The sequence below is a fragment of the Homo sapiens genome, chromosome 1 (genome assembly GCF_000001405.40).
Source record: "Homo sapiens chromosome 1, GRCh38.p14 Primary Assembly".
Lineage (NCBI taxonomy): Eukaryota > Metazoa > Chordata > Mammalia > Primates > Hominidae > Homo > Homo sapiens.
In genome coordinates, this window is record NC_000001.11 from 230834563 (window position 1) to 230853672 (window position 19110).

The 19110-nt window shown below is 47.3% G+C and overlaps 1 protein-coding gene across 8 annotated transcripts in view, besides 1 other annotated feature; it reads right to left on the minus strand.

Annotated features, from left to right (window-relative positions):
- Window positions 1-2556: 2556 nt before the first annotated feature.
- C1orf198 (chromosome 1 open reading frame 198) overlaps window positions 2557-19110 on the minus strand; it is a 32473-nt gene continuing 15919 nt past the window's right edge. For all 8 annotated transcript variants that reach the window (XM_047432496.1, NM_001136494.2, XM_047432495.1 and 5 more), the window contains 2 exons: window positions 8792-9334; window positions 2557-5346 (listed from right to left, as the gene is read on the minus strand). In XM_047432496.1, the coding sequence (XP_047288452.1) occupies window positions 5290-5346; window positions 8792-9334 (600 nt within the window). In that variant the 3' untranslated portion in view covers window positions 2557-5289. The remainder of the gene's footprint in view (window positions 5347-8791; window positions 9335-19110) is intronic.
- Window positions 14215-17673: an enhancer, noted in NCBI's record as "VISTA enhancer hs1766". NCBI's record gives its function as "enhancer in: dorsal root ganglion[7/12] | heart[12/12] | other[5/12]" and the evidence as "EXISTENCE:transgenic organism evidence [ECO:0001131][PMID:17130149]".

Below are 19110 nucleotides of genomic sequence, written 5' to 3' on the forward strand. Positions count from 1 at the left end.
TTATCCCATTTTTGCCAACACTTGGCATGATCCAGTTCTCTATTTTTTTTTTCTCTACCGGTTATTTTTAGCACCTTTTCATAGACTGATGGTTTTTAGGATTTTCTCTGTTAATTTTCTATTGAGATCACTGACCTCCTTTTGTTAATTTACTGGAGTGCCCTCTATATTCTTGATGCTTGTGCTTTATCGGAGTTGACATAGCAAATATCTTCTCCATTCTCTCAGCTAATTAACTCTATCCATCTTCACTGACAGAAATCTAAACTTTTATGGAATCAGGTTATTTTGCTTTATGGTTTGTGCTTTTGAAGTTTTATTAAGGACTTTTCTTGCCCTAAGTCACAAGCTATTTTCCTCTATTAGCTTTACACTTTTACCTATTACAATCTGGTCTTTAATCCATAGAACTCACCTTCTACATAGTGTTGGGTAGGAATTCACATTTACATTTCTCTGTGCAAATTCATCCACCCGTATAGTGAGAATCCTTCCTTTTCCCTGCCAGTTTGTGGTGCCATTTTGATTGTAAATTAGGTTCCCAAAGATACATGGCTTTGTCCCTGAGCTCTCCATCCTGTTTCATTCCTCTAGTTGTCTGTCCTTGTACCAATACCCACAAACTGTAATTCCATGGCCCTGTAACATGTTTTCATAACACAGCAAGCCACCCCTACCTCACTTCTTTAGTGAACTATTTCTCTGTTTATAACTTAGAGTAATTTATCAGATTTCTCAAACTATCCAACTGGAATTTTTATTAAAGTTGCACTAACTCTCGGGAGGCTGAGGAAGGAGAATGGCGTGAACCCGGGAGGCGGAGCTTGCAGTGAGCTGAGATTGCGCCACTGCACTCCAGCCTGAGCGACAGAGCGAGACTCCACCTCGAACAAAAAAAAAAAGTTGCACTAACTTTATGAAATTATTTGGGAAGAAGTAACTTTTTTTATATTGTTTTCCCATCCAGGATTATTCAGATCTTCTTCTAATTTTTCTATTTAACTTTTAGGGTTTTCCTTAAAGAAGTCTTTGCATTTACGTTGATTCCTGGACACTGTATTTGTGCCTGCCATTATGAGGGGTATTTTTTTGTTTCTAGTTCAAATTACTGCTTGTTAGGAGCTGAATTGTCCCACCTCCACCCCAGATTCCTTTATGTTGAAGTCCTGACCCCCAGTATCTCAGAATGTGACTACTTGGAGGCTGGGCCATTAGAATAGTAATTAAGTTACAATGGGGTGGCTAGGGTGGGTCCTAACCCAATACGACTGATGTCCTGGTAAGAAGAGGTTTGGACACAGACAGCACAGACTGAGGAATGACCTTGGTAAGGACACAGCAGGAAGAGGGGCCTCAGAAACCAACCCTGCTGACATTTTGATCTGGAACTTCCAGCCTCCAGAACTGTGAGAAAATAAGCTTCTGTTGAAGCCACTCAGCCTGAGGCATTTTGTTATGCCTCCCTAGCAAACCAATGCCCTGCTCTTAATTTTTAAAGTTTATCTTATATCCGGGGTTGCCCACTTGTTTTCTACCCAAGTTAAGGTGTGATTCAGAGTCACTGATTTCCCCCTCTTGGTACCCATGTTCCCAGAAAGCTGGTAAGTTCATCAGAAGACTGCCTCGGAGCAAAAAAAAAAAAAAAAAAAAAAAAACCTCCCAGAAAAGGCCATGAATGGTCCCACCCTGCAACAGCTAGCATTCTTGTTCCCCCGGATTCAGCATATTCCCTCCATGGCTGGAAAGTGCTGAATACACCCAGGTAGGTTTTGCTTCTATGTTGGTAGCTCCTCCCTCTTGCATAGAAACACCTTTTTAAAAGATGTGTTAATAACACATACTGAGTTACTGCCAAACCTAGAAGCTTGGGAGCTATTTTGTTTCCTCTCATAATGTGTAGATAGAATCATCCAACACTGATGACCCACAAACTTCATCACAAATACTGTAGGCCACTAAGTCGGCAGGTGCAATTACTCACTCTCCCAGAAACCTCCAGTCCCGAAAGCAGCAAGGTTTCGGGACTGTGCATAAGTTAGAAGTCTGCCAACCTAAGTGAGCGTTTTTCACCATTTTCAGTCTTAAAAGCTTATTTGATATGAAAAATTAACATCTCCTTAATCTATAGTTGGTAATTTACCACCTACACTTTAATGAATGGAATAGGACTGACCGGCCATGTTTTATTTTGTATTTCTATTCCCCATCCTCCCATAAAAAATCAGCTTTGACTAGATGCAACACGAAAGCTTTCAGGAAGGCAGCTTTTCAGAGCCAGTCACTCAATACAATAAGCTTGTCTGGAAAGGCTTGCCAATGCTTCCATTTCACCCGAGGGCTGTGCAAGTATCCCCCAAGACAGAGCCCACCCCTCCTGCTAGCAGCCATCACCTCCCACAAACCTGCAGAGAGGACCGCACCAAGACTGCAAAGCAGGCTTCCGGAAGTGGCTTAAGCTAGCTTTCACTAGCACAAACCCCTTTTTCTCTTTTGTGTTCAACTGCAATCATCTCCATAGGCTTCCTGACACCAGCAGAGGCCCATCACAGACACAAATAGCATTTTTTAAATGGCTTTATTAAAGGCTACAAGTATAAAATATGACTAAGTTACAAGTCGTCAGTAAGAATTTATTACTTTTGAAAATGTTAATTAAAGAAAGGGAGACGCAAAGAAAGGGAGGCTCTTCCTGAAATCCACACAGGGGGGTGCGGCTCAGACGGGTGACAGACCCCCGCTGTTCCCAGTAGGGCAGCACCCCCAAACCCAGGGGGCCAAGGGAGGGGCTCCCAGATGAAACAGAGGCTGGTTGCTGATTTCTTGGGGGAACTTTTGTAAAAATGAAGACACTGAATCCTTGAGCTGAATCCCAGGTGCAGAGACTGGGGGGAGGTGGAGAATCCAAAATCATGCTCAGGTTTCTCCTGAAAAGTGTGTATTTTCTAAAAAATAAATATAAACTCCTGGTTTGAGAAACTCCCTCATGATGAATGGGAGGAAAATCATGGCAAATGGAGAGCTAAGAAACCATCTTCGCATAGACTTTGCCCAAGGTGTAGAGGAAGATCTGCCGGTCAGGCAGGATGAAGACCCACACAGGAGCCTGTGTCCTCCAGGTCGTCCCTTCTTCCAAAAGCACAGCAAAGCAATACAACTTGAGGACTCCCTCCAAGATTTCCTAATTTTTGATTTTACATTTAATCTCAGGAGGCTATACCATTAAGAAACATTATTAGAGTTATTGCTGGGTGCTGGGCCCCAGACGATACTAAGTGAGGCAGAAGCTTTCAATAATTCCTACAGCCCTCAGCACCAAGAAGAACTTGGAGGGAATATTGGGCTTGTTGAGAAAGTGGGAAAGAAATTAGAATTTCTCCCAATAGAAGAGGCAGATCACCTTGGCCTACTCTCTAGGACACAGGTCTTTCTTCTGTGCTACACCAACACTACAGAATACAAACTCATACATATACATTTGCTACCATAGGTTCTACAACAGCCCCATGCCCTCCAGGCAGAAGGTGGAGGCAGGTGGCCGCTGATTCTGAGGATCCCTGTGTGAACAGTGCCGTTAGCCCTGAGGGGAGCTGGCGCTTGCCCAGGCTGTGCCAACTGGGATTTCTAAGCTCCTTTTTCCCTCACCACCATGCTGAAACCTTTTTTTGCCTCACATATATCAACTATACTTAAATGGTACAGAAAGAACCAATATTTGAAAAGTTACAGTAAATCACTGAAGCAGAAAGATAAAACTATACCCCAAGGATCCAAATGAGGTTTAGGGACATAAAACAATTGGCAAGAACCAAATCAAAAGTTGGCTATGCCACAGCTTTGGCAGAAACTTTCCTGGAGATGATGAGGGGTTGAGGTGAGTTGCTATGTGCTTTATTTTGGAGCCAGATAAAATATTCTGGAAATCATTTCAGAAGGTCCTATGAAACAGGCATTTAAAAAAAAAAAAAAAAGAAGAAGACACACTTTGGTATTGAAACCGAGCGCTCACTGGCAGGTGTCGCAAAGATTAAGGCTTCAGGTGAGAACGCAGTGATGGCAACATGGAGATGGCGCCATACCGGGCTTGAGGCTCTGCTCAGACGCCTCCTGCAGGCTCACACGGCTCAGGGGCCACTGGGCAGGACAGCCTCTGAGTGCAGCAGCTTCCCTAGGGGAGGTGGACCACGTTGTACCACTGGGCAGCCTTGGTGTCTGCACCAGCTCCAAGAGATACTGCTGCTCTGACACCACGCAGGTCTCCATGGGCACTGCTGAGTTGACCGCAAACTCCACTCTTCCACTTCTGGTGGTGGTCAGGGCTGGGGAAGGTCCGTCATGACGCAACCTGGCTAGCCCTTGGGATAAAGAATGCCCACTGCTCCCATCAGTCCCATGCTGGAAGACTCTAACACAACTAAGCAGAAGAGCCCTGACCTCCAGCCACATCTGCCGTCTGCCCTGACTCCTGTAGGTGCCCAGTCCGGGGAACAACCAACAGGTCACATAAGCAACAAGAACTTCCAAGAGGAAATGGATATAAAACCAAGGAAAGTGGTAGCCCCATTGTTGATAATCTAGATACAAAATAATGAAAAGCTAGTACAAAACTCTTTAAACATGCAACTCTTTTTAAACAACAATCCATACTCTGAATATGTATCAGAGCAGGTTAAAGACTACACTGCTACATACCCGCAGTCTGTTCCCTGGAAATGGCGTGAGGGTGGAGGCTGGCACATGATGTGAGAGACATGGCTTCTGCCAGAGAAGCCCCGGACAGCTGCGAGCGCTGGCTGAGAACGTCGCTGGGGGCCAGTCTTTCCGGGGTCACAGCCAGCATGCTGATGTCATGGCTGATAACATCACCCTCAATCACCCACCAAAAGGAACCCATACGGTAAAAAGCGGAGGGGGGAGGGGGAATAATGGAGAAGGAGATGGAAATCACTTATATGATTTTTGTGACATGGTTGAAACACATCCTTTGAGGAGGGGGAAAGTTGGGTGGAGCTGGGAACAGAAGTTTTATTTACAAGATCTCCTGAATTATTAACAGACCTTAAAAATTCCAAATGGAAAACTTCTGTTATCAAATCACTGAAAATAGCATATATATCTGGTTCTACCAAAAAAGAAAAAAATCTGGCAATATTGACCAGTTTCCAAATGATTAAGAAAAGAGTGTCAAGAAACCAGTAAAATACATAGGAAAAGGTGGCCCTTTTTATCCTCCTCCACCACACCACTTTGGAAAACATTTTAGGGTTCTTCATTGTATTTTTCTAATACATTTTACCAATTGTCCAGAAAATCAAATCCCGTCTTCAAGACGACATTACTTGAGCTGACCTGTAGAAGGGACAAAAACATGGAAGTAAGACGAGCCTCTTTTTTTCAGTTACGTATAATCTAAAAACAGCATCTCATTTAAAACGACCCAGATAAAAGAGCCTACTTCTGTCTCAGAGGTTCCCTGACCTCAATTTATCTCAGTGCTTGAAATCAGAAGATTAAATACAGTTCAATGCAATCTATACTCTGCCAGCATCCAACACTAACCCCTCTTCAACCCCAGGCATGTCTGTGAGCAGCTTACAGACCTTACAGAGAAAAGAACAATGTCTCTGTATTTTTCTATAAATCTTTTCTGTTTCTGAATGACAGCCATGTTTAAATTTATTCATCCTAAATAAGAGAACAAATGATAAAGATATTCCTTCAAATATAAAACAAACATCACACACAAACACAACAAAAAAGAACTTGTAAAGTTGAGAAAGTAAACATAGTGTGGAAAGAATGTGAAGCTTATTTCTTTCAGATCTTGTGAAAGGTTATGAAGTGATTTTCCCAAACTCTAAGCTCAGCCTCCGGGGCTCAAGCGATCCTCTTGCCTCGGCCTCCCACGTAGCTGGGACTACAGGCATGCACCAGGCGTGCACCACAAGGCCTGGTTTAATGTCATTCTTCTTTCAGGGGAAAGGGCTTAACTGACAGGTCCCCTCTTGTGAGCATGGGCTGTCTCAAGCTGCTGCTGTTTTCATAAAACTTCTGACTGGCTTCCACTCAGCAGCCTGTTTCTGATGTCCCTTTCCTCCAGCCTAACACCGGCAGGCATTTACCTGGTGCGCCAAGGTCTTCTTGAGCAAAGAAACCTTGACTCTCCACCCTCCAAGCAGCCGGCCAGCAGAAAATGCATACATGGCGGCAAGAGCAGGCAATGGGCTAATGGGCTTGCCCTTGACACCTGTCTCAGGCCCAGTTTGGCTACATGTGAGACTGGTGCAGAGTGAGGCAAAACATGCAGAATGGAAGGAGTGCAATCCAGTTTTCCTTGTTCTGGTTTCCTTCCAGTTTCTTAAATGCAGTGGCATTTCACTGTGCTTTACTCAGAAATCTGTTCTCTCAAAGGAATTTCATGTGCTGTCTCCTACTCTCCACTGCCCACACAGAAACACGTTCCTGCTTCTCTTTAGAGTGGGGACTATCACCTATTTTATGGAAATACTTCTTTCAGAGGAAGCCCTCAGTGCCGAGTCTCAGAGAAAGAGTGCTGGTTAGGGAGGCAGGGAACTGAGCCTGTCTGTAAGGAGGAGCTGATGGGCAGGAGGATGTGAGACAGAAAACAGAACGGAGAGATGGGCAGGTACCGGAGAAGGCAGGAAACAAGAGGGCTGAAAGCACTAGCTTAAGAAGGTGCAGAAACACGAAGAGGACAGGCTAGAGCACTGATGTGGAGCCGAGGTGGGCAGAAGGTACTAGCACCGCTGGATCCTCCCTCCTCGGGAGGACAGCACGTGCAGCCATCTGCCGAGGGAGGTGTGGAAGTACTGGAAACCTGCTCTGGGGGACATTCAATGTTATCAGTGATGATCTCAACTCAACAACAAAATAACCAAAAATTTAAAAATGGGCAAGGGACCATTGGACATTTCTCCAAAGAAGATACACAGATGGCCAATAAGCACATGAAATGAGGCTCAACATCATTCACGATCATGGACAGGCAAGTCTAAACCACGGTGAGACACCACCTCATACCCCTTCGCATGGCACCAGCAAAGACACAGAAAATAACAAGTGTTGCAAGGGAGTGGAGAAACGCGAACCCACATTGATGGGAATGTAAAATGACGCAGCTGCTGTGGCGAACAGTATGCAGGTTCTTCAAAAAAGTAGAAATAGAACCACCATGTGATCCAGCAATTCTACATCTGGGTATGCACCCAGGAGAAGGGAAAGCAGGGGCTGGAAGACTTATTTGTACATACACGTTCACAGCAGCACTATTCCTAACAGACAACAATAGCCAGAAGGTGGAAGCAACCCAAGTGTCTGTCGATGGATGAGTGGATACACAAAATGTGGTCTAACCACACGATGGAATATTAGCCTTAGAAGGCAATTCTACACTTGCTACAACATGAATGAGCCTTGAAGACGTCACATTAAGTAAAGTAAGTCAGTCACAAAAGGGTAAATACTATATGGTGCTACTTATATGAGGTACCTAGAGGAGTCAAATTCACAGACACAGAAAGTGGAATGGTGGTTGCCAGGAGCTTGCGGGGAGGGATGAATGAGAAGTTAGTGTTGAACGGGTCCAGAGCTTTAGTTCTGCAGGATGAAAGGAGTTCTGGAGATGGATGGTAGTGATGGTTACACAGCATTGAGAATGTACTGAAATGCCACCAAATTTATACTGTAAAATGGTTAAAATGGTAAATGTTTGTATATTTTACCATAATAAAAACTTTTAAAATTCAGTATATGGAACCAGCCCAAATGCCCACCAATCAATGAGTGGATAAAGAAACTGTGGTATATATATACGATGGAATACTACTCAGCCAAAAAAGGAATGAATTAATGGCATCTGCAGCGACCTGGATGTAATTGGAGACTATTATTCTAAGTGAAGTAACTCAGGAATGGAAAATCAAACATCATATGTTCTCACTCATAAGTGGGAGCTAAGCTATGAGGATGCAAAGGCATAAGAATGACACAATGGACTTTGGGGACTCGGGGAAAGAGTGGGAGGTGGGTGAGGGATAAAAAACTACAAATTGGGTTCAGTGTCCACTGCTCGGGTGATGGGTGCACCAAAATCTCACACATCACCACTAAAGAACTTATGTCACCAAATACCACCCAAAACCTATGGAAATAAAAAATTTAAAAAATAAAAATTAAAAAAAAAAAGAGTGACCCACAAGAACCAAGGAGTCTCAAGGGCCAGAGGAGGATGGGTGAGGCTACCATGGAGGCAACTGCATCCTGGGCTCACTCCTCAGCAAGGCAGCCAGGAGCCCAGCGAGGCCCACAGAGGGGCAAGACCCAGTGAGGCCTCTCAAGTGTGCCTGCCTGCTTTGCCAACAGGCAGCTCCCCTGGCCCAAATCCAGACCAGTCCTAAAGAACAGACCATTGCCTCTATGGACAGCTCCCAAAAAGAAGGCCCAACACAGCTTTGAGCTGTGACAGCCCTGGGCGCAGCGCCTTCCAGGGGCCTCTTCTGATAGCAGCCCGCGCACTGGGGAAAGCGCAGTGGGCCACGGAACCCTGACTGGTAAACAAATTAGGGCACCCAGATGGACTCGCAAAACTTGTCTTGTTGCATATTTGTTGGTGGCTCAGCACCCTGAGCCTAGGCATCCTCTGAGGAAGAGGCAGGGGAAGGAGAAGAAAAAGAGCATGGGCACCTGTGGCCTGCCTGCTTTGTGGGGGACCCTCTCGGTTCCCGTGGAATAAGGCACCATCCCATCTGAGGACGCGCTGGTAAAGGCCACTCACCTGTGCAAACTTGGGTTCCGAGAACAGGGTGTCTTCCCCATCGTCCTGCCTGACATCAGGAGATGGCAGCTTCCCCTCGAGCTGGGAGGGGGCAGCCTCGTGCAGTGCACTGCTGAAGGCCTGGACAGGCTGGGGTCTCTCACGTTCGGTGCTCACGTTGGGAAGAGGACGCTGCTCCTGACGGAGGGTGCTGGGCCTTTCCACCTTGGCCTCCCTGTCCTTCGGGGCAGGTTCCTGCCGGTAGCAGGGAGGCAAGACCTTTTCCCCCTTCTCCATGGACTTGATCTGGCTAGGGGTCAGCGACTGGAACTCGGCCTCAGGCCCCTCCCCTCGGGACCGCTCAGCATTGATCTTCCAGAATGACGCTTCCTCCTCCTTCCTGGTGGGGCCCAGGGCGTCCAGGCTGGAGGACCTGCTGCCTTGGGAGGACTTGAGGGCCTGGGAGCCCTGGGAAGCTTTGGACAGTGGTCTGGGCTCGCTGGCGGCGGTGCCGTTGCTCGGCTCCTGGATGGATAGGGCGGAGATACTGAACTCCATCTGACTCTAGGGTGGGACATGAGAAAGGACAGAAAAAAGAAAGAGATCCTGAGAATCGACCGTCACAAGTGTGCCAGCTCACGCACCCCTCCTCAGCATAAGGACGCACACCAGCCACACACGAGTTGTTGCCCATGTGCTGGAACTGTCTGTCCTGAGTGGTGGGTATGGTCAGGACTCCCATCGCACACCTGAAATGCATCAGAAGCTTAAATGCCAAGGCCGGGTGACAGAGTGTGGGTGGTGGTCCCCTCCCAAATCTCATGTCGAACTGTAATCCCCAGTGCTGGAGGTGAGGCCTCGTGGGAGGTGTCTGGATCACAGGGGCGGATGTTGTCTTCATGATGGTGACTTCATGGCTTGGTGCTGTCTTCATGATAGTGAGTCCTCATGAGATCTGGTCGTTTAAAAGGGTGTGGCACCTCCCCCTGACTCTCTCCCTCTTGCTCCTGCTCTGCCATGTGAGATACCTGCTCTCCTCCGCCTTCCACCATGAGCCACAGCCCCCTGAGGCCTCCCCAGAAGCCAAGCAGATGCCGATGCCATGTTTCCTGTGCAGCCCGCAGAACCGTGAGCCAATTAAACCTCCTCTCTTTATAAATTACCCAGTCTCAGGTATTTCTTTAAAACAACACAAGAACACACTGATACACTCCCTCATGCACTATGCTACATGCAGCTCAAGATATCTGAGTATTACCGATGAGTAAGGGCTCTCTGCCTGGTAAACAGGGCACCCTCCTGTCTCCTCCAGTGTGGTTCTAGCACCTTCCTGGCAGGTGACGACCCTCATTGGGAGGATAACGAGGAAAGGTGCACACTGCAACAAAAGGCCACATCGCAGCCAGGGTCAGAACCCAGCCTCAGATCACAAACACCCAGAGGGCAGGGCAGGGCCTGGCACCCATCACAGCCTATGCCCCACATCTGAGCACCCACAAAATGCTTTCCTTGATCTGGATGCTGCTAACCACAGTGATCTCTAAAAATGACACTGCTGAGCTGTTTTGACCAACAAAATCATTACATGGCAACCTAAACCTCCTCTTTGGAGTAGAATGTTGTCTTCCAAGCTCTGCAGAACAAGCAATTTGTAATCTCAATCATTTCTAAAATCAATTCTGAAGACTTCTCTCTTCCCTCACCATTTCTACTCCCTCATATTTCCCTGCCTCTTTCTAAAATAAATTAATACGCCAGATGTGGTGGCTCACGCCTATAATCCTAGCACTTTGGGAGGCTAAGGATAGAAAATCGCTTGAGCCCAGTTTGAGACCAGCCTGGGCAACAAGTGAGACCCCTTCTCTACTAAAAATTAAAAAAATTAAAAAAAAAAAAAAAAAAGGCCAGGCATGATGACACACGCCTGTGGTCCCCAGCTACTCAATATGCTGAGGTGGGAGGATTGCTTGAGCCTGGGAGGTCAAGGCTGCAGTGAGCCACGATTGCATCACTGCATTCCAGCCTGGGCAACAGAGCAAGACCCTGTCTCAAAAAATATACTAAAAATAGGCCAGGCACGATGGCTCACGCCTGTAATCCCAGCATTTTGGGAGGCGAGGCAGGCGGATCATCTGAGGTCAGGAGTTTCAGAGCAGCCTGACCAACATGGAGAAACCCCCTCTCTAATAAAAATACAAAATTAGCCAGGCGTGGTGGCAGGAGCCTGTAATCCCATCTACTCAGGAAGGCTGAGGCAGGAGAATCGCTTGAACCCGGGAAGTGGAGGTTGCGGTGAGCCAAGATCACGTCATTGCACTCCAGCCTGGGCAACAAGAATGAAACTCCATTTCAAAAAATAAAAGAAAAGAAAAGAACAAAGAAAATATACATTAAAAATAAATAAATAAAAGTAATAAAACTACATGACAGAAAGTTTGGGAAATAGAAAAAAGAAAAAGAATCAGTCACAACCCTTCCCTCCTCCCATAATCACTACTGCTTTTTGTTATTTCTATGTAACCATTTTCATATATGTGTTTTATGAGGCTGTAGTTCTGTTGGGCATGTGATTTGGGGTATTGCTTTTTCACTTAATCATAAGCATCATCCATGTTGCTGTATGGTCATGATAATCATTATTTTTAATGGTTGTAAAAATATTTCAGTAGCTGTCACACCACCTACTTAACCGTTTTCTTATTAACAGACAATTTGCTATTTCTAAGCCTTGTTGTTATAATTAAGGTTGCCATAAACATCTTCATGCATACAATCTTTTCCCCATTTTGGGTTAATTTCTTTAGACAGATTTCTAGAAGTGAAATATCAAAATACAAACAATTTAAACCTTTCCTTTTTATGGTTTTGGATGCATACTATCAAATCTGCTTTCTAGCAGCTGCCCCAATTTCTAATGCCACCAGATGTACATCAGAGTAGCATTTTTAGTCACTGAGTATAATAATTTAAAACTCCCTGTGCTAACTTAAGATACAAAACATGGTTCTTCATGCCTTTCATGCACAGTCTTTCACATAATCAATGGTCTGTTCAGTCCTTTAAGTTTCTGCAGACAGCAGCACTCTCCCAGGATTCTCGCCAATGGGCAGGTGCATATTTGTCAGGGCAAGGATGGAAATACTACTTTTCCTGTGTGAAGTGCAGGTCCTATACATAGAGAGCGGCACATGCTCTCTGAGTCTGAGATTTCTAAAAGTCCAGCTTCCGACGGCTAGATGTCTTCCCTCCAGCCTTGGGAGATGAGATCACGAGGCCATGAAGAATTCAAGTTTAAAACGCACGCCTAGGCTGCCCTGAAGCTCAGTGTTACAGGAAATAAAACCCATGGGCTGGACGCGGTGGCTCACGCCTGTAATCCCAGCACTTTGGAAGGCTGAAGCGGGCAGATCACGAGGTCAGAAGTTTGAGACCAGTCTGACCAACGTGGTGAAACCCCGTCTCTACTAAAAATATAAAAATCAGCCAGGCGGCCGGGCGCGGTGGCTCACGCCTGTAATCCCAGCACTTTGGGAGGCCGAGGCGGGCGGATCACGAGGTCAGGAGATCGAGACCATCCCGGCTAAAACGGTGAAACCCCGTCTCTACTAAAAATACAAAAAATTAGCCGGGCGCGGTGGCGGGCGCCTGTAGTCCCAGCTACTTGGGAGGCTGAGGCAGGAGAATGGCGTGAACCCGGGAGGCGAAGCTTGCAGTGAGCCGAAATCCCGCCACTGCACTCCAGCCTGGGCGACAGAGCGAGACTCCGTCTCAAAAAAAAAAAAAAAAAAAAAAAAAAATCAGCCGGGCATGGCGACGCATGCCTGTAATCCCAGCCACTCAGGAGGCTGAGGCAGGAGAATCGCTTGAACTCAGGAGGCAGAGGTTGCAGTGAGCCGAGATCGCGCCACTGCACTCCAGCCTGGGCAACAGAATGAGACTCTGTCTCAAAAAAAAAAAAAAGAAAAAAAAGAAACAGCCATCAAAGCATTGGTTCTCTGGTTAAAGACAATGTAGATTACTCAGTGTGCCTGATGTATCAGGACTGTTGTTTCTAAATTATTATTATTTTCATTCTACAAATGAGAAAATGGAGAATCGGAGTGATGAATTAAATTGTCCTAGGGTCACTAGCCCATTAGGAGATTGTGCAGCTGGGATTTCAACCTGGATTGAGAGATTCTAAGCCTGAATCCATGGCTGGGCATCCCTGCATTGCAAAACAACAGGTGGCCACCAGGTATGACATCCATGGAAGCTGCCGGGAGCAATGGACACAGTGGGATTTCTTTATGTATGTGTGTGATCTAATTTGATTTTAAAGGACTGTTTCTGAGTGGTGCATTCTGAATACTCTGCATATTTCCAAATTCCACAACAGAATACAGAAAGACTGTGGGATAGAGATGATAGTTTCTTGAAATAGGCAAATCACTAAAAATGGCTCAGAAGTGGGGCCCAACTCAGGGGACAAAGTTGACTTTGATCTGGAAATTGTAGTGTAAGGAAGGCACTTAAAACTGAGCACTTCATCAAACCCCAGGCTTTTTTAGGATCAGCAATTTCTACCATGGGTGTCCCTGCTAAGAAGCCTCTAGAAGGTGAGACAGAACTTCCTGTGTACGTGGAGGGCAGCAGTGGGCAGAGCCAGGGATGCTGGGGGGAAACGCCAGTCACAGTGGTTCCTGGGCTGCTTCAGGGGCGCTGCGGAAGGGAACCGGGCAGCACTTAGCTGGGTGTGACCTCCTCAAACAGAATGACAGAGGTCACTCCCAGCCCTGCTTGGGTAACAGGAGACCTGGAGACCTGGCAACAGCTCTTCAGAGGAGGGTGTCATCTGGCTAGAGAAGAGGGCTTTGCTGGCAGAAGCAGCTACCTAGTTTAGGGGGTCTGGAGGTGACTATGGGGAAGACAAGAACTTAACAAAGAAAAAAGTTCTAAGTCTTTTTCCCTATGTATGTGTATGCTGTTCATAATTTTGCAAATAACGTATAACTACAATCTCCTTTAACAAAACAGCCCTGATGATCTCATGAAGGCAGGGAGTAGAAGAAATAGATACTGCAGGCTGGGAAGGGTGTGTGGGTAGGAAGGGGATGAAGAGAGGTTGGCTAATGAGATAGAAGGAGTAAGTGTTTGCTCTAGTGTTCAACAGCAGAGCGGGGTGACTCCAGTTAAGTGTGTTGTGTATTTTGCAATAGCTATAAGAGAGGATGTAAAATGTTCCCAACACATAGAAATTAAAAATACTCGAAGTGATGGACACCCCAAATACCCTAACTTGAACATACAGTCTCTGATTTCACAAAATATCACATGTACCCTATCAATATTTCAAAATATTGTATATCGAAAAAAAACCTGCCCTTGTCCATCACCCTGCTGGGTGCTAGGCCTCTTCCCCACTGCTTTCCCCAAAGGAAAAGGGTTTGTCATCTAGAATTTCTAAACACAAACCTTTTGGGGTAGGGGAAGAATCTTTTTTCCTGTCTAGATCCGACTCTGCTCAGCTCTAAAAACTCCAGGAACTATAATAAAAACAGACTCTAGCAGGGCCAGGTGGGGGCCCAGGGGAGATCAAGCCCATCTCTCAGGAACTGCAGCCCATCCTGCCCAGGGACCTCATTCTACCCAGGGGGGACCTGTACTGGTATGTGTGCACACAGCACCAGGACAGAGCGAAAAGTGGCTCCAAGCTCATTTTCAAAGACACACCGACATGCAGACCATAGGAAGGCAGAGCCCCTTTTGCCATTTCAAAGTAAGTTTTACTGCTTTTTGCTTCGGTGACTCCACACTGTTGGCCACTCCCCATCTCTTCCAGTCCAGGGCACAGCCTAGACTTTCCTAGAACAAAAGTCCATTTTCTACAGGTGTGGAAAAAGAGCTGGGCTCTTGAGAAAGGAGGTCATGCCAGCCCTCTCCCACGGCACTGAGCAACAGGGAGCCAGGGCTGGCGGGAGGATGAGGCTCATGAAGGGGAGGAACCCATGGGCCATGGGACGCCAACTCATGGGCGCTGGCCACAGACAGAAAGCCGGGGTTTGGGGATGCAACTTAGTGGTCTTCTATAGTCTTTGAGACAGGGGAGATAGGAGAGTCCACAAGGAAGCCGTCCCTCCTGACGGCAACACTGACAGCCCAGCCTCAATGTCCCAAGTGCCCACGGAGGCTCTGCTGGGAGGACTCCCTCCAGCCAGGCCAGGGCTGGGCGTCAGTCACCCCATGCGGGGAACTGGGTCTCAGTTGGCCATGTCTGTTCTAAAAACAGAAGGACCACAACCGAGCCCAGTGTCTATTTTTAACGTCCCACTCACTGAAGAGGAATGTGTAATATTTCAGTAAAAGACGAGTGCAGGCTGCCAAAACTAACTGTTTGGCTTGGCAGCCTCGGACAGATCTAAATTGTTGAGACAAAGGCTACAGAAGCCTTGTCAGAAAAGATCATCATTTACTGGAGCAAATCCTAATACATTCACCAACCACTTAACATCTATTCTTCCCACCTCCCCTCCAAAGAGGGAAGAGGAGGAAGATGAGCAGGAGGATACTAAAAACCTTTAGAATCACAAATTTAGTAGAAGTGGCAGCTGACAGGGACAAACCCAGGGGCCCAAAGAGACGGGGCGTGAACGTAAGCAAACAAACATCCACCCCGTCAGCCTCTAAGGCAAAAAACACCAGCCAGGGAGAACTCAGCTGAGGCCCAACAGGAAATGGGTGCAGAGGTGCACCAGTCCCCAGGGTTGTCAAGGTTAAGGGACAAATAATTGTGTCTGCCATTCTGGGCTCATCATCTCACAGGGACAAAGACGCACCAACAAGGAATTCATCAGCATGATCCCCATTTTTCCTCTATCACAGTGCTTCCTAACGGTAACAGGGAAGAGGGTAACTCTGGAAGCTGCATAGGGCTTAAGAGCCCAGCACTGGGCTTAGGACTGCCTGGTTCACATCTTCACTTTATGCCATAGTTTCCTCATCTGTAAGGTGGGTTGCTGTGAGGATTACACTCTGCAATGCAGGGAGGGTGCTCAGCACAGACCCGGCACGTGGTGAGATTCCTGATTGGGACAACTGTTAAAAGAGGATTTGTGCTGAGTCTGGAGGGCAAGTGGGGCCTTCTCAGGTGGATAGGGGTCAGGGGACGGAGCAAAACACTGAGGTCCAAGAGAACATGGTCCCTGAGGTGGGTGAGAACAGAGCCTGTGGGATGGCAGTGCAGGGCTGAGGGCAGGGCTGAGCGAGTGACGCATCGTCCCACACACATGGAGAGCAGGGAAAGGCCAAGAGCAGGGGCACACAGGGGTCTGCTGTTGTCTCAGGAAGGGGTGAGGCACAGCCCAGAGGAAGGGCAGGAGGGAGGGAGGGGACTGCTGGGCAGAGATGGGGGTCTCGGTGAGAAGCACAGAGACCAAGTTGCGGGTGGGTGGATGCAGCCCCATGGTGTCCTGCCTCTCAGAAGCCCCGTGACTGGTAGTGAGGAGGAACCATTGAGCAGAGCCAATGAATCCTCTATGTCCAGGAACATCCTGCTGGAACAGCCCTTCTGTCCCACCATGGGCAGCAAAGCCCCGAAAGTCACAGATAGACCTGAGCTCCAATTGCTCTCCGCCCACTCGACCTGCCAGGCACCTGACCCCCTGCATCCCGGTGTCCTGACCCACAGCGTGAACAGGGACACCAGCCTCCCAAGGGTGAAAGAATTCAGAGTACACACACATCCCTATCATGGGCACAGCACAGAGGAAGGGCCTGTGCTCATAAATGCTTATGTATCTTCCCAAGGAGGCGTCTGGAAGGCTTCCCTACTCTGGGAATGATCTATATTAGCCCCCCAAGATCTTTTGATACCCATGAAATCAAGGAACCGATCCCCAGCCCAACCTACTTACTGCCCTAATAGGCAGCTGGACATCAGGTGAAGGAAGGGGGTAGCCAGAAAGGAGAAGCAGCCAGACAGCTTGGGGGAGGGGCAAGGCTGGGGACAGGGTCACAACGCCCAGCCAACCAAGAGCCCAGCCAACCAAGGCTGGGGATGGGGTCCCAAGAGCCCAGCCAACTTTGAAGCAGGGCCTGACCTGCCCCAAAGGCATTTTCTCCTCTGAATTCTCCAGCCCAGACCGCCTGGGGAATGTAAAGAATCCTCTCTCCACTCCCTGCCTCCTCCTGTCTGGAGCCTTCTAAGTGCTGAGTTTTTTCCTCTCGAAACAGCAGTAGCATGAGACAGGAATGCAACATTAGGTCCCCACTGGCCCCCTCTCCCCTGGCACGCCTGCCAAGCTGATAGATGAGTGGAAAAGATGACAATCACGACCACCCCCACCCTTCTGGGACAGGCAGGCCTCCCTTCTGTGATGGAAGAAGTCTGGGTAACAGAGGCACCACAGCCACGATCAGCCTCAGAGGAGGCAACCGAGGCAGGGTGGACAGGCTGGAAAACCAGGTGGGTGCACAGCTGCTACTGTGAGGCTGCAGCGAGCTCTCCTGATCAAAGCTGCGTTGCATGGGGGCAGCGACCACAGGTCCCAAGCACAACCGCAGCTCATTCTGTGGAGGTGGAATGGTCATGGGCTGGCCAAGAGAAAGGAACCCATACAGAGGTGCAGCAGTTGGGTGAGAAACCAAAAATCCCTGCGATTCTTAACTCTGCCCATGGCCATGACCTTGGGTCAGGCTTACCCTTGTGTAGGTAGATTCGTCAGGGGATGGAGAAGTCAGAGCTGGGCACTCTGCTGGCATCCACTAAATGTCTGTTGAACTGAATAGCTGAAGAAGGGCATGAGGTTACATCTACCCAACATGTGTACAAATTTGGGTTAAACGTATGGAGAAAATGACTGGAGTGACTCGGTGGCTATAGCTTTTGTGCTGAGTGAGATTTGCCACCAAACACAGCTGTCCACTCACTGAGCTGTTGTTCGAGCACAGAAGTGGCATATGCTCAACTCTGGGCCTGCAGCATAATGTCTGACATAAACGGGGTATACAATAAATATCTACTGGAAAAAAAAAATCAATGAATGATTTCAGAGACAGAAAATAGATGGTGGCTGCCATGGGCTAGTGAGAGTGGGGGGCAGTCATTCTTTAATGGGAACAGAGTTTCAGTCTTGCAAGATGAGTTCTGGAGGTGTGGATTAGCTTGACTTAATCATTCCACAATGTACACACGTATCAAAACATCTTGTTGTACATCATAAATATACACAATTTTTCATTTGTCAATTAAAAAGTAATAATTTTTAAAAAGAGTTCTCGAGATGGATGATGGTGATGTTTACACAAAAATGTGAATGTACTGAATGCCACCAGACTATACACATAAACATGATTAAGATGGAAAATTTTATGTTGTGTGTATTTTGCCACAATTAAAAATAAAACTTAAAAAAATCAATGAGTGATTAATTAAAAATGGAAAGAAATGGCCAAGGTTAACCAAGGAATGAATGACATCATACAATCTTAGATTTAAAATGGGTGCAAACTCTCTGCAGCTCTTCTATCAAGAGGTGCAATCTCTTTCCTCAAACATTGAATCTGGCCCAGCTTGTGCCTTGATTTGACCAGCAGAACAGAGCAGAAGTGATACTATGCAATTGCCCAGCCTAAGCTTCAAAAGAGTCCTCGTAGGCTTCCGTTCCCGCACACGGATCTCTCCACCTCTGTGTGAAGAAGTCCAGGCTGGCTTGCTGGAGACATGTGGCCCAGCTAACAGCCAGCACCAACCAGACACGTGAGCAAGGTTCTCAGAGCACCCAGCTCCCATCAGGCGATCAGATGACACATAAGTGATCCCAGGCAAGGCCAACGGAAGAACAGTCCAGCTGAGCCCTGCTCCGATCATTGACCCACACAATCATGAGCACATAAAATGCTGCTTCAAGCCATTAAGTTTGTTATGCATCTATAGAGAACTGATAGAGTGAGGAAGGCATCAGTTGAGAGGTAACAAGAAATGGGGTCCAAGTCTCCCTCCAGTCCTGCAATTGGAGATTAGGGGGTCCTACCTTCACTAAAGCCACCTCCTGTTTGTGGCTCTCCAATGAAGATCTTATAAGCCTTTAAGTCCTAAGAAGAGTTTGGCAAATCTCTTCAAGCAGGATGGCAGGGCACTCCAGGGTTAAGACAAAGGAGGAATGAGTGATGGGCTTTTTAAAACTCGGCACTGCCTAGTGAAGAAGGAGGAAGGGACAGCTCCCTTGCTCTCTGAGATACGCTCTATTTTGCCCCTAGACGTTTCTAATAGTAAACTATAGTAAGTCTGACCTCGAGAGATCAAACAGGAAGGTGAGGACACAGAGTGAGCCCAACAGTTTGTGAAACAAACTGGAACTCTA